Genomic DNA, 14,458 nt, shown 5'->3' with positions numbered 1-14,458 from the left:
CAGCCTCTGGAGTAGCTGGAACTACAGGCGCGTGCCACCACACCTGGCTAATTTTTGTATTTTTAGTAGAGACGGGGTTTCACCATATTGGTCAGGCTGGTCTCGAAGTCCTGACCTCAGGATCTGCTGGCCTCGGGCTCCCAAAGTGCTGGGATTACAGGTGTGAGCCACCATGCCTGGCCACACTCTTTTTTCTTTAAGGTGAGGCACCCATATGTGTCTATAAGGGTTGTTAATAGATTGAATTGTGACCTGTTAAGATTATGTTGAAGTCCTAACCCCTAGTACCTCATAATATGACCCTTATTTGAAAATAAGGTATAATAACCGCAGATGTAAACAGTAAGTTGGGATAAGGTCATACTGAATTTAGGATTGGCCCTTAATCCAATATGACTGGAGTGAGACATATGGGGAGAACATATAATCGGGTTATATGTTCATAGCAGATTGGAGCGATGCAGCAGCAAGCCAAGGAATGCTGATGATTGACAGCCATCACTAGAAGGTAGGAAGAGGCAAGTAAGAATTCTATTCAGAGTGTCAGAGGGAGCATGACCCTGCTGACACCTTGATTTTGGACTTCTAGTCTCCAGAACTTTGAAAGAATACATTTCTATTGTTTTAAGCCACCCAGTTTGTGGCATTTTGTTATGGCAGTCCTAGGAAATCAACACAAGGATTATTGTAAGTTTGGTGGAGAATGGTTGGAAATGGACAGGAGGTGACTCAAGGTCTGTCTTCGCCTTATCTCAAGTCGTAAGTTGTGGGTTGGGAGACCCTTGGTCCTGAAGTTTAGTCATAAAGATAAATCCACTCCAAAATTATTATATAAGTCATGGGAGGGAGTTCAGTTTCCAAACATTGATTTATATCTAACATTTCCAGGGTCCATCTGTTGTATAAAACAAGGTGTATCTTGGCTTTAGAAAGCCAAAAGTCTTGCCAGGAATTGGGTTATGATTTTCTTGCCCAAAGCATTTCATTTAACAATCTACCTGGCAAATGGGGAACAGTTGTGAGCCAGGAAGCTCCCTAAGACTGGATATCTTAGTGAAATGAGCAAGGAAAACTGGAAGGTGGAGGAAAAACAGTCCTTTCTGTTTTTCATTTCAAATTCAGGGGAGGATTTAAAGCATAGGCATTGAAGTACCTCTCAAGGATACACATCTATTTATATTTTTCAGAGATCAGGAGGAGAATGCACATAAAGCCTTTGAAAATGTGTGTGAACAAACGTCTATGTGAACATATGGCAGGGGAGTGTGATCCTGTTAAACACTTGCTGTGTTTGGCAGGAGTAAAGAGCTAGAATGCCTGCTCACTTAGTTCTTCCCACCCACTCAGATGTGTGAGTCTTAGCAGGTGGGAGGATCTGTAGCTTGCTTCCTGAGGTCCATGTAGGAAGGACGAACTTGAGCCCCAGCCGCAACTAAGGAGTGCTCTGTCCAATGCAAAAGCAGTATCAGGACACAAATGGAGAGTACACGTTACTCTAAAGATAGAGCCTAAAAAATGTGTGGAAGCAAGATGCACGGTGCAGAGGAACTGCACTGATGTGTTGATAGGGCTCTGTCAGTACCTATGAGCTCTGTACGACATTGAGAGGCCATGTGCCAAGTCAAACCTTCCTCCACACCCTGCCAGGCCTCTCTGCCATTGATGGCCAGCTTTAGAACAACTGCAGCTTTAGGATCTGAAATGGCTGTGGCCTAAATCCTCCACCCAGAAACAGGGAAGGCTCTTTGGCACATGCTGTTTCTTTTACTCTGGATACTCTTCCTCTCTCTGCTAGCTCATCCTTCAGGTCTCAGCTTATTTGTCATCTGTTCAGGGAAGAGTCACTGATCAGCACTTTCTTCTTATAGTCAGAATTTTGCACATTTGTAGTAATACAATTTCGTCTATAACCATTGTTTAATACTATTGTCCTTCTCATCAGATTGTAGGAGATTTTTTTCTGCTCACTGCCATTTTCCTGAAGCCTATAAAATGCCTGACATATAGTAGGCATTTGAGAAATACTGTTGACTAATTGGCGATCCAGTATCCTCCTACTTGAAAAAAATGCTTATAGTTTATTCTCAAAAAAAGGTGAAAGAGACTTAAAAAAATTCCACATTTTCAAGGAACTCCTTCACCTTTAAAATGGAAGGAAGAAAGGAAATAAGGAAGGGAAGGAGGGAGATAAATGGAAAATGAACAAGGGTTATGAAGAAGCAAGTCACAGAAGAAATTCAAATGACCAACAAATATATGAAAAGATGCTTATCCAGACTAATAGTCCGGGAAATTAAAGTTAAAAACAATATTTTATGCCCTTAGATTGGCAAAAATTTTAAATATTGCTAAAATTCACTTTTAGCATGGATTTAGGGAATAAGAGTGCTGGTATACACTATTGGTAGGAGTTCACAATAGTGCAATGTATATGGAAGATACTGGTATTAAGTTTAAAATTTTTAACTGTGCCTATATTTGCAGGATTATTTACTAGGGAAAAACTAGAAACAATCTTATATAATAGGGAAATGGTTAAATAAATTATGGTACATTCTTGCTATGGACTGCCATAGGTATTGACACTGATGAAAGTCTACATAAAATGTGTTTAAAAGGAAATTGTAGGACAACGTATATAACATAATATCAATTAAATAAAAATAGGGCTGGGAGAGGTGGCTCAATGTATATAATATAATCTCAACTAAGTAAAAATAGGCCCGGGCAAGGTGGCTAACACCTGTAATCCCAACACTTTGAGAGGCTGAGGTGGGAGGATCGCTTGAGCCCAGGAGTTTGAGACCCGCCTGGGCAACATGGCTAACCCTTGTCTCTACAGAAAAATTAAAAACACAGTGGGCGTGGTGGCTGACACCCAGCTACTCAGGAGGCTAAGGTGGGAGGATCACTTGAATCTGGGAGGTAGAGGCTGCAGTGAGGCAAGATCCTGCCACTGCACTCCAGCCTGGGTGACAAAGTGATACCCGGTCTCAAAAACAAATACATAAATAAAAATAAAAGTATATTTTCCAAAGGAAAAGGTTTCAGAAGATTCACACTATATTTAATAGTTGGTGTGAATCCTTTGAGACCTTTTCCCCTGAGGAAGTGAGAATGAGGGTTTAACTTTTCACAATGAACAGGCAGTGCTTTTTTAAAAACAACTTTATTGAAGTATGATTGGACATAAAATAAATCGCACATACTTAGTGTCCAACCTGGTAAGTTTTGATATTGTATACATCTGTGAAACCATCATCACAATCAAGATATTATCCATCATCCCCCTAAACTTCGTGTCTCTTTGTAATCCCTCTTTTCTGCCTCTTTCTGACCCCACTCCTATCCGCTAGCAACCGCCCATGTACTCTCTGTCACTATGTATTAGTTTGCATTTTCCAGAATGTTATGTAAATGGAATCATACGGTTCTGGCTTCTTTCACTTGGCAGAATTATTTTGAGATTCATCCATGCTGTTGCATTTATCAATAGTTTACTTTTTTATTGCTCAGTACTATTCCTTCGTATGGATCAATCACGACTGGTTTATCCATTCACTTGTTGATAGACATTTGGATTGTTTCCAGTTTATGGCTATTACAAATAGAGCTGCTATGAACATTTGTGTACAAGTCTTTGTAAGAACATATGCTTTTTTCCCTCTTGGGTAAATAGCTAGGAATGGAAGGCTGGCTTTGTTTAGCATTTTAAGAAATTGTCAAAATGTTTTCAAAGCTGCCGAACCATTTTATGATTCCACCAGAGACAGGAGTATGGGGCTGAGGTAACAAATGGTCCCCTTCACCATCCTCGGATGAGTTAATGACAGTAACCATCAGCTCACCGTATAGGCCTAATCAGGAACTGTCCGTGCTAAAATGTGTCTAGTTCTCTTTAGTCAGATTCCTTTGAGAGTGTGATTAAGCTCACGGTCAGTGTGGCGTGTAGGACGGGACACACATGGACAAATGCTAGGCAGGAATCGCCCACGCTGGAAAGGGCGATGGCCTGAAAAAAAACGACCGCAGTTGGGATGGAAAGGGGAGGGTTGAAGTTCAGACATATTGAAGTTAGAATGGTTGGGACTTGGTAAGAGGGGAGAGAGGACGATGCCTAGGGTTTAGTGACCAGGTGATGGTGGTGCAAGCAGAGGGGAGGAGTGGGTTGGCGGGAGGAAAAAGAGGTTATTTTTGGTTTGTCACCTGTGAGTTGCCTACTGGACACAAAGATGAAGCTGTCGGGAAAGTGATGCTAAGTGTACACGTCTGCGTGGAGATCCAGACTTCTGGTGCAACATCTAGGTTTAGGTGAAGTATTAGAAGCAGTTGTAGCCAACAAATTCGTATCTTTCAGAGCAATCATTTCTACACCTTACGAAAAGCACCGAATCCGTGGTCTCCCCCACACAGACATGACCAGAACATGTGCGATGACGTCAGCCTTTTTGACTAGTCTCCCACTCACTCGATTCTGCGCAGGCGTATGGCGCATGCGCAACATCCCCTAGTGCCGCCGCTCCCTACTCTGGGGGTTGGGACTACCTCCTTTTCCGCGGGCCCCGCCCAGGCGGCTGCCCGTGACCTGCCTGGGCGCGGGGAACTGAAAGCCGGAAGGGGCAAGACGGGTTCAGTTCGTCATGGGGCTGTTTGGAAAGACCCAGGAGAAGCCGCCCAAAGAACTGGTAAGGGCTACGGCGGCGGCAGATAAGCGGGTGGATCTGTGTGGGGCGTAGTGAAGTTGGTAAATGACAGGACACTCTTCTCCCCACCGCCTGCCCGATACCGCCCGGCCCCCATTTCCGGGGACTCCCACTCGACAGGGGGGCCGGAGGAAGAGTCTTTAGGAGTCGGCTGTGGGACGCGAGAGCTCCTGGTGCCATGGCTCTCGAACAGGTAGCCGAGGGTGGATGAAGAGTTTCTCCACCTCGCCACTGAGCGCGTAGGCAGCGACACCGTCCTGGCCTCGGAAACCTCTTCCCCCTGCGCGCGTTGGTACGACCCGCCCGGAACCTTTTCCCAGCGTAGGCCCCACCCCTCCAGCCCGGCTGCGGACCACCCGGAGAACCTTCTCCTGCCCGAAGCGTTGTTTGGAGCGGGCCGGGTCGCGTCTGCCGGAGGAGCCGTCTGTTCTCCGTCCTCCCTGTTGTGTTGAAAAAGAGGCTCAGTTTCCTCTTTCCCCAGCCCTTGTGTTGACCCTAGGCACATACCGTAGCGGGGCAGGGACTCGACCCAGAAGAATGTTACAGAAGATAGCTCTGGACCCGGCTTCGAACTCTCGTTACCTATTAATTGAGATAATATTGGGAGGCAAACAGTTGAAAATGCCCTGCAGTCAGTCAACCTAAGTTTGAATCCTGCCTTCCCACATCTCAGCTCTGTGATCTCTGGAAAGTTCACTTCTCAGTGCCTTCTCGACTGTGAAGCCAGAATAATAGTAGTGTCACCTCAGAGTAATTGAAGATTCAGGGATGTAAAGTTTTCATATTGGTAGTTAGGGCTAATTCTTTAAATACGGCACAGCTTTGCTACTCAAATGCCAACCAGCAGCATCAACATCACCTGGGAGCTTGTTAAATCTCGGACACCACTCCAGACCCACTGAGTCAGATTTTGAATTCTGACAAGCTCCCTAATGATTAGTGTGCACATCAGTGCTTTGAGAAGCACTGCTCTGCAACACCTAGGCTTGTCCATAATGGAAAAAAAAAATCCTGAAATCCTTTAATAAATGATCTTACCTGTTCAGCTCTAGCAGGCACATTTTAAAAACTAATCTTATGCATCTTGCAATTCCTGGCACATAATGTGCGTTAATGTAAATTTGTTGTTGTTGTTGTTAAAGGCCCTAGAACAGTAGACACTCATTATTTTCGTCAGGAAACTTACTCAGTTTTGCTCCTTGGTAAAATAAAAATTGTGGCGCTTAAATGAAATAACGGTATAACATCACTTTGGAAACTATAGAACATTATATAGATGCACATTTTGTGACATCTGTATATTCTAAGATTCTTGTTATTGTAGAAGTGTGGTAGGGAGAGATTATTTGTTGTCTTCAGTGTTTGGCCTTGGCATTGCCATTCGTAAATTGAGATAAGATTATGGAGAAGCAAAAAAGATGCTGGGGAAATGGTTGCTTTATTGTTTAAACTAGTCTCTAGTATATGTACTACTATACTACTCTAGTATATTGTACACTTAGATTGTTTTTAAATGATAAATTGCTAAGAACACGATATTGGTACACTCTTCAGTAGGGTAATCTACCTGAGAAAGCTGATTGACACTGGAAAATGGCAGGGTTGATGCATGAGATTGGTTTTTAAAACTATGCTTGCCAGAGCCGAACAGGTAAGATCATTTATTGAATAAAAAATTTTAGTTGTTTTTCCCCCCATTATGGACAAGTCTGGGTATTGTAGAGCAGTGCTTCTCAAGCATTAGTGTGCACACTAATCATTAGGGATCTTGTCAGAATTCAAAATCTGATTCAGTAGGTCTTGGATAGGGTCTGAGATTTCTAATAAGCTCCCAGGTGATGTTGATGCTGCTGGTCTACACTTGAGTAGCAAGATTGTAGAGTGAATTAAGATTAGCCCTAACTACCACCACCTTTAGCTAACATATTGAACCAGGCATTGTGTTAAGCACTCTGCAATGTTATGAGGTAGGAACTGTTATTGTCTCCACTTTACAGGTGGCAACTGAGGCATACAGTATTTAGGTAATTTGCCCAAGGTCATACAGTTTGTGAATTACAGCACCAGAGGTTATGTATTCTAAGGCCTATACTTAGAATTATCATGCCATTTATACTACCTCCCAAAGAGGGATTATAAAGGTGAAATAAGAAGCCAAAGAACTTAACTTCTAGCAAGTAAGATAAACATTTTAAGAGCTGGTTTGGATAGGGCACCTGATATGGTTTGGATCTGTGTCCCCGCCAAATCTCATGTCAAATTGTCATCCCCAGTGTTGGAGGTGGGACCTAGTATGAGGTGATTGGATCATGGGAGCAGATTTCCCATGAGTGGTTTAGCACTATCACCTTTGGTACTGTCCTTGAGATAGTGAGTTCTCATGAGATCTGGTTGTTTAAAAGTGTGTAGCACCTTCTCCCTCATTCTCTCTTGCTCCTGCCATGTAAGATGCCTATTTCTTTGCCTTCCCCCATGATTGGAAGCTTCCTGAGGCCTCCCCAAAAGCAGAAGCTGCTGTGCTTCCCGTACAGTCTGCAGAACTGTGAGCCAGTTAAACCTCTTTTCTTTTTTTTTTTTTTAAATTATACTTTAAGTTCTGGGTTACATGTGCAGAACGTGCAGTTTTGTTACATATATACACGTGCTGTGGTGGTTTGCTGCACCCATCAACTGGTCACCTACATTAGGTATTTTTGCTAATGTTATCCCTCCCCAACCCCCAACCCCTGACAGGCCCCGGTGTGTGATGATCCCCTCCCTGTGTCCATATGTTCTCATTGTTCAATTCCCACTTATGAGTGAGAACATGCGGTGTTCGGTTTTCTGATCTTGTGATAGTTTGCTGAGAATGATGGTTTCCAGCTTCATCCATGTCCCTGCAAAGGACGTGAACTCATCCTTTTTTATGGCTTCATAGTATTCCATGGTGCCACATTTTCTTAATCCAGTCTATGATTGATGGACATTTGGGTTGGTTCCAAGTCTTTGCTATTGTGAATAGTGCTGCAATAATTTTTTTTTTTTGAGATGGAGTCTCGCTCTGTCGCCCAGGCAGTGCAGTGGCGCGATCTCAGCTCACTGCAACCTCCGCCTCCTGGGTTCAAGGGATTCTCCTGCCTCAGTCTCCTGAGTAGCTGGGACTACAGGCCCGTGCCACCACATCTGGCTAATTTTTTGTGTGTTTAGTAGAGACAGAGTTTCACCGTGTTAGCCAGGATGGTCTTGATCTCCTGACCTCGTGATCTGCCCGCCTTGGCCTCCGAAAGTCTGGGATTACAGGTGTAAGCCACCGCGCCCGGCCCTCTTTTCTTTTTATGAATTACGCAGTCTCAGGTATTTCTTTATAGCAATGTAAGAACCGACTAATACAGTACCACATACACAGGTATAGGAGTTCAGTGGTTGGAGTGATTATCTCCAGGCTGAGATGATCAGAAACAGTTTGACCTTTCACTGTCATGTGTTCCATCCTCTTCCTGCCTATGAATGGGTTCTTGACTATTTAGTAGGATTTTTAGTGTTAGATTATCCACTTTATCTGGTGCTGGAGATACCCTGCCCAAGGTTTTCTTCAAGTTCCTCCTCAGTTCTTCAAGGTACCCATTCAGTTTTGATATGTTTTAGTTTGTTAGAAGAATGTCCATCCACTTTAGGGTCAGCTTCTACCAAGTGCCAGGCTTTCTCTCACACCTGTGACTTGTGAACAAAGAAAGTGTTTTGTCACCAGCTGTGGTTACTTAGCATTAGTCTGTAATTCAAGAAGGTGCCAATAAAGCAGGGATGGTGTATTAGTCAGGGTTTTCCAGAGAAGTAGAACCAATAGGATGGATGGATAGATAGGTAGTTGAGAGGGAATTTAATATGGAAATTGACTGGGGATTATGAAGGCTGAGAAGTACTATCATATGCTGTCTGTAAGCTGGAGACCCAGAGAAGCCAGTGGTGTAGCTCAGTCCAGGGTTGAAGGCCGGAGAACCTAGTGAGTTGGGGTAGCACTGATGGAAGTCCCAGAGTCCAGAGAGTAGAGAACCTACAGTTCTGATGTCTAAGAGCAGGAGACGGGTATCCCAGATGCAGAAGAGAGCAAGAATTTGCCTTTCTTCTGCCTTTTTGTTATGTCCAGACCCTCAACTGATTGGATGGTGCCCACTTACATTGGGTGGGGGCTGATCTTCTTTAGTTCACTGATTGAAATGCCAATCTCTTCCAGAAACACCCTCATAGACATATTCAGAAATAGTGCTTTACCAGCTATCTGGGTATCCCTCAACCCAGCTGAGGAGATACCTAAAATTAACCATCACAGATGGGAAATACTTTTTTCTCTGTAGAACTGCTGATGCACTGATAAAGTATTGAGAGCTGTGTATGAATAAGAAGCCAAGTAATGTTAGTTTGGCTTTTTTTTTTTTTTTCTTTTAAGGGAGAAAGAAAATACTTAAGAGGCCAAGTGAAGGAAATTTTCAAAGATAAGAAAATGTTGGCAGAAATGGAAGGGGCATTAGAGAGAGAGGGAATTGACTAAATGCTGTAGTCTCAGCTGGGCAGTTTTTGAGTTGGGATAAACTTACAAGACAGCTCCTTCTGTTGGGGGCTGAAAGATGCAGGCAGGTGGGTCTGGGTCCTGGCACAGGATAAGCAGAGGCCAGGTGTAGTCATATCACACCATCATGGTTGTCACACATGGTACCATTTAGGCCATGGTGACAGGTCAATTCGGGCAAGTAAGATACATTATGGGTGGTATCTCCAGAGCTCTGATATAATATGCAGCGTGCAGTGGGTGCTAAGTAAATATTTGTTAAATGATGAGTGAGTATCAGAATAAGGTTTAGTAGGGTTTAAGGTCAGGTAGTCCCAAGATGAGCAATGTTTCAAGGAACTCTCTAGGGAAACATTAACTATGTTAGGAGCCTCTGCAGACTAAAATCTTTGCCCCTGCACAAACTGTGGTGGAGACATTTTAGTGGTGAATCTATTCTGTTTTAAAGGATGCAAGTAAAGACCAGACTGGGCCTGCTGAGGATGAGGATGCCTTAAAATCCATTTAGAAACCTGTAACAGTCTTGGGGTGGGAATCAGGAGGACATGGAATTCTGCTGGAAAGAGATTCTTCTCTTAGACTTGAGGTTCTGCTGGGAAAATTGTTCTGTCTTACTTAGGGACTTCACTAATTTAGTCTTGGGGTAGAGTGCCCCCTTCCATGGCATCAGAATTCTTAAATCATATGACTTATGTTCTTAGACTGGGTCATGACTCATGGTTGTGGGATTCTATCAGAAAAGGGAAGAAAATGAGAAAGGGAGATGGAGTTCATACAACAAATATCGAGTGATTTTGGTGTGCGTTGGATTGGAATAAGGCTTACAAAAATAAGACACTAGATGACTTCAAAGAATATAGTTTACTGGAGGAGACTGACATGTAAATAAACACTGTAGGGAGATAGGAGCAATAATTTAAGTATATACAAAGTCTTTGATGCCATAGTGGAGGGAGTGATTATTCAGAATGGGGAACGGAAGCTGGTCAGGGACGGTCTCGGTCTTGTCACAAGTGGCATTCACCAGGTGGACGGTAGATATAGGATCAGGAAAGGGGAGGCATCCCTAGCAAAGTGAACTGAATATGCAGGGTTTAGAAGTGTGGAACATATGTTAGAGGAACTAGGGAAAAAATTCAGAATGGTTGGAGGATGAAATGCTATTCTGAGTGGAATGCAAGAGGAGTGATGGTAGTGGTAAGATGTAACATTGGAGAGGTAGGTAGAGGGCAGATTAATAAAGGTCTGTGTGTCATGCCTACTAAAGATGGGGAGCAATCAGAACAGTGGGTTAGGGCATGAACTAGAAGGAAGAGATTTAGGTAGGGAGGCCGGTTAGTGGCCCAGGTGATAGATGATGTGAGCCTTAGAATGGCAATGGGAATGGAGAGGATAGGATGAGTTTTAGAAATATTTAGCATAGATAGTCAGAATTTGCTGAACTACTGCATGTGGGATGAGTGCAAAGATGATTCTTAGGTTTCTGTTTAACCCTACCCCAGTCAAACCTGTTCATCCCCCTGAATGGCAGTGCCATGAGCTGAAATGGAGAGAATTCAGGAAAGGAGCAAGTTTGTTGGGAATGGTGATAGTGGAGGAGAAGGAGCCAGAGCTCAGTTTTGGACAGAATTTAAGAGATGAGAGAAGATAGACACAGGGAAATTCTGGAAGAATATTTTTCTCTTCTGCTTTGTGTCCTCAGCAAAATTGTAAACTTAAGAGCAAGGATTATGTTTCTGTTTATTCTCTATCATCCACTGGGCTGGCATAATGTTGAACTTTCTCAGGAAGTGTAAAGAGCTCGTCAGGTACTTGTTTCATGGACAGGAGTAGGGATGGTGTTCCGGGTCCGACCCGCAGATCCTGGCCAAACGACGGATGAAAGAATACACTCAGACACAGGTATCCAGTGAAAAAGCGGGCTAGGGGACCAGGCTGCTCACAGACCCCGAGGAGGGTGTTGTAGCAACCGCGGCCCTGACAAGCCGGCGCTGCGAGTATTTATTCAGTACAGATGTAATGACAAAGGCTTTGAGTCAACACACTTGTGGGTAATTAACATGGTCCCTCCCCGCCTTCCCCGAGAGAGCAGTCCTGCTGGCGGATGATTAAAGGCCAGGTTCCGAGGCCTAAGTAAACTAACTTATCTAGATCAGTTTCTTTACATCCCCTTACATCTCCCAGGTAAGAGAATCTGGCTGCCTTCAGCCAAATCCTTTTCTGAAGCTTTTGTAAAAACCTCCCGACCTTCCATGAAGCTTTGCATCTTTTTACAATTTTTCCCACCACCCTGACCGATCTCCTACAATGGTGAGAGAAAACACCTGGACATTTGAAATCTAGCATGATTGAGCTGATATATACTCAGCTGACAGTGACAGGAATAGGCAGATTTTGATCTAAGGTCACTTGTATTTGTTGCTTTTGGCTGATTTCTAGTTTTATGTATATTTTAGATTGTCTTGAAAGATATGCAAAATCCTAGATTGCCTCCAGGAGAGGAGCTACGTAGCTGAGGGTCAAAAATGGGAGGGAAACTTTTCACTATTTGCCTTTCTATAGCTGTTGAATTTGTACCATTAAAATGTATTATCTAGTCTGGAATTATCTTAAAAATGTTTTCTGGAGTCAGTAGTTATTTTCCTACTTTAAATTGATTTTATGTATTTCTGTATTTTAAGGATTTGCTTGTTATATTTTTCCAGTCCTTTAATTTCGCTCTTAAATATGTAAAAAAATCTTTAATATTTTAAGTTAAAAAACAGAGGATAACATATCCATTGTGGTAGGCTGAAAAAGCTCCCCACCCCCAAAGAGATCAGGTCCTAATCCCTGGAACCTATTTATGTTCCTTATTTGGAAAAAGAGTCCTTGCAGGTATGAATAAATTAAGGTTCTTGAGATGGGGAGTTATTCAGGTGGCTCCTAAATGCAATCACCTGTATCCTTATAAGAGGGATTTAGAGGGAGATTTGACATACACAGAAGAAGAGAAGGCAATGTGAGGATGGAGCAGAGACAGCACTGAAGATGCTGGCCTTGAAGATTGGATGGTGAGACTGCAAACTAAGGAATGCTGGTAGCCATTAAAAGTTGGAAGGCAAGAAATGGATTCTTCCCTAGATCCACTGGAGGAAGCATGGCCTTCCTGCTACCTTGATTTTGGCTTAGTGATACTCAGATTTCTGGCTTTAGAACTGTGAAACAGCACATTTATTATTTATTTATTTATTTTTTTTTTTGAGATGGAGTCTTGCTCTGTCGCCAGGCTGGAGTGCAGTGGTGCGATCTCGGCTCACTGCAGTCTCCACCTCCTGGGTTCAGTTGATTCTCATTTATGTTTTAAGTACTTTGTTATGGCAGCCTCAGGAAACAATACACTTATATACATGCTTACTCTCTTTATTGCATTTTCTTACGTCAGCACACAGAGTGACAGTCACTGTCATAAATTTGGTATGATTTCTTTCTGCTCAGTATTGTTTGTATATTTTGAAAATGAAGTTTATTCATACCAATATATGTAGATGTATTTCATGTATTTTAACTTCATGGAGTTTGATTGTATAAATCTATGACAACATATTAGTTCTAAGGCCGGGAGCGGTGGCTCATGCCTGTAATCCCAGCACTTTGGGAGGCTGGGGCGAGCAGATCACTTGAGGTCAGGAGTTCAAGACCAGCCTGGCCAACATAGTGAAACCCCGTCTCTACTAAAAAATACAAAAATTAGCTGGTTGTGGTGGCAGGCACCTGTAATCCCAGCTACTCCGGAGGCTGAGGCAGGAGAATTGCTTGAACACAGGAGGCAGAGGTCGCAGTGAGCCGAGATCACCCACTGCACTCTAGCCTGGGCGACAGAGCGGGACTCCATCTCAAAAAAAAAAAAAAAATCTACACACACACACACACACACACACACACACGCGCGCACACACATTTATTCTATTGATGGACTTCTAGATTGTTTCCTTGTGTAATACAACAATCCAATGAACATTCTAATACCTGTATGCTTGTGTATTTGTGAGAGAGTTTCTTTAGGCTATGTACAAGGGAAATTTTTGGATCTTAGGATATGACTTCTTTGTACAAAAATACTGCCAAATTGGTTTCTAAAGGGATTGAACTGATTTGTACATTCATCAGCAATATATGAAAGTTGCTTGTCTTTATATTCTTCTCTAGCACTTGTTATTAACTGAATTTTTGACTTTTGCCAGTCTTAGAGGAATGAAATGAATATCAGGCTTTTTCCTGATTATCAGTGAGATTGAACATCTTTATCTTCTCCAGTTATGTGACTTGTCATTTCATTATTGTGTATATTATCATAAAGACTTTGTCAAGTTTAATTTCTTCTTGAAATAGAACACCTATGAAATGCCAACTACTTTATTTTAAAGTTTTATTATGAAAATTTTTAAATTTTTAGAAAAGTAGAAGTAATAGCAGTGGTTAGTACATTTGAGTTGCTATCACAAAATACTACCAGCTGAGTAATTTATAAACAATAGAAATTTATTTTCTACAGTTATGGAGACCAGGAAGTCGGTGATTAAGGCGCTGACAGGTACAGTGTCTGGTGAGGGCACTGCTTTTTGGTTCATAGATGGTGCCTTCTTGCTGTCCTCACATGGTTGAAGGGGCAAAAGAGCTACCTTGGGCCTATTTTATAAGGGCATTAATTCCATTCCTAAGGGACCTAATAACCTCTCAAAAGGCACCGCCTCCTGATACTGTCACTTTGAGGATTAGGATTTCAACATACGAATTTGGGGACATGCACCAACATTCATACCACAGCAGATCGTACAGTGAAAACCTGTATAATCAAATGTTGATAGCACTTTGCTATTATTTGATATATATTTTTCAGCTCGGTCAGTTTGAAATAGATTATAAATATAACACATTTTGCAACATTTCATATTGCATCTCTGGAATATATGGAAATTCTGTATAACAAAAATACCTTCATATCATTGAATATCTAGTCCATATTTAAATTTTCCCAGGTGTTCCCAGTATGTCTTTTATAACTTTTTAAAACTTAGGATTCAGCGAGGTTTGTGTTTGGCTGTTACTTGATTTTATTTAAAAATCTGTTTGGGGTCGGGCGCGGTGGCTCACGCCTATAATTCCAGCACTTTGGGAGGCCGAGGCGGGTGGAACATGAGGTCGGGAGATTGAGATCATCCTGGCCAACATG

General features: G+C 42.5%; 2 protein-coding genes and 1 long non-coding RNA gene across 7 annotated transcripts in view, besides 4 other annotated features; 2 read left to right on the top strand and 1 right to left on the bottom strand.

Annotated features, from left to right (window-relative positions):
• Nucleotides 1-5,919, bottom strand: part of CHMP3-AS1 (CHMP3 and RNF103 antisense RNA 1) — a 55,380-nt gene extending 49,461 nt beyond the window's left edge. Inside the window, exons 1-5 of one of the 2 annotated variants that reach the window (NR_183901.1) lie at nucleotides 5,742-5,919; nucleotides 5,069-5,143; nucleotides 4,590-4,721; nucleotides 4,207-4,301; nucleotides 3,849-4,012 (exon numbers count right to left, since the gene is read on the bottom strand). This is a non-coding gene — a long non-coding RNA (CHMP3 and RNF103 antisense RNA 1). Of the gene's footprint in view, nucleotides 1-3,848; nucleotides 4,013-4,206; nucleotides 4,302-4,589; nucleotides 4,722-5,068; nucleotides 5,144-5,210; nucleotides 5,286-5,741 lie in introns of both variants that reach the window. The other variant, NR_183900.1, reaches the window with a different exon arrangement.
• The window catches only part of RNF103-CHMP3 (RNF103-CHMP3 readthrough), a 217,693-nt gene that overhangs the window by 153,134 nt on the left and 50,101 nt on the right, over nucleotides 1-14,458 (top strand). The window lies entirely within an intron of this gene.
• Nucleotides 4,171-4,230: an enhancer, noted in NCBI's record as "active region_16164". NCBI's record gives its function as "activates an Ori minimal core promoter by ATAC-STARR-seq in GM12878 lymphoblastoid cells {active_cell/tissue: GM12878}" and the evidence as "EXISTENCE:reporter gene assay evidence [ECO:0000049][PMID:35858748]".
• Nucleotides 4,389-4,683: an enhancer, noted in NCBI's record as "tiled region #1991; HepG2 Activating DNase matched - State 1:Tss, and K562 Activating DNase unmatched - State 1:Tss". NCBI's record gives its function as "activates a minimal TATA promoter and a strong SV40 promoter by Sharpr-MPRA in HepG2 and K562 cells {active_cell/tissue: HepG2 | K562}" and the evidence as "EXISTENCE:reporter gene assay evidence [ECO:0000049][PMID:27701403]".
• The window catches only part of CHMP3 (charged multivesicular body protein 3), a 60,014-nt gene continuing 50,101 nt past the window's right edge, over nucleotides 4,546-14,458 (top strand). For all 4 annotated transcript variants that reach the window (NR_036454.2, NM_001005753.3, NM_001193517.2 and 1 more), the window contains exon 1: nucleotides 4,546-4,685. Coding sequence is in view for 2 of the 4 variants with exons in the window: in NM_001193517.2 (NP_001180446.1) it covers nucleotides 4,641-4,685 (45 nt within the window). In the remaining 2 variants the exon portion in view is untranslated. The remainder of the gene's footprint in view (nucleotides 4,686-14,458) is intronic.
• Nucleotides 4,841-4,940: an enhancer, noted in NCBI's record as "active region_16163". NCBI's record gives its function as "activates an Ori minimal core promoter by ATAC-STARR-seq in GM12878 lymphoblastoid cells {active_cell/tissue: GM12878}" and the evidence as "EXISTENCE:reporter gene assay evidence [ECO:0000049][PMID:35858748]".
• Nucleotides 4,951-5,120: an enhancer, noted in NCBI's record as "active region_16162". NCBI's record gives its function as "activates an Ori minimal core promoter by ATAC-STARR-seq in GM12878 lymphoblastoid cells {active_cell/tissue: GM12878}" and the evidence as "EXISTENCE:reporter gene assay evidence [ECO:0000049][PMID:35858748]".

This window comes from Homo sapiens, chromosome 2 (genome assembly GCF_000001405.40).
Source record: "Homo sapiens chromosome 2, GRCh38.p14 Primary Assembly".
Lineage (NCBI taxonomy): Eukaryota > Metazoa > Chordata > Mammalia > Primates > Hominidae > Homo > Homo sapiens.
This window is presented reverse-complemented; position numbering and strand designations above follow the sequence as displayed.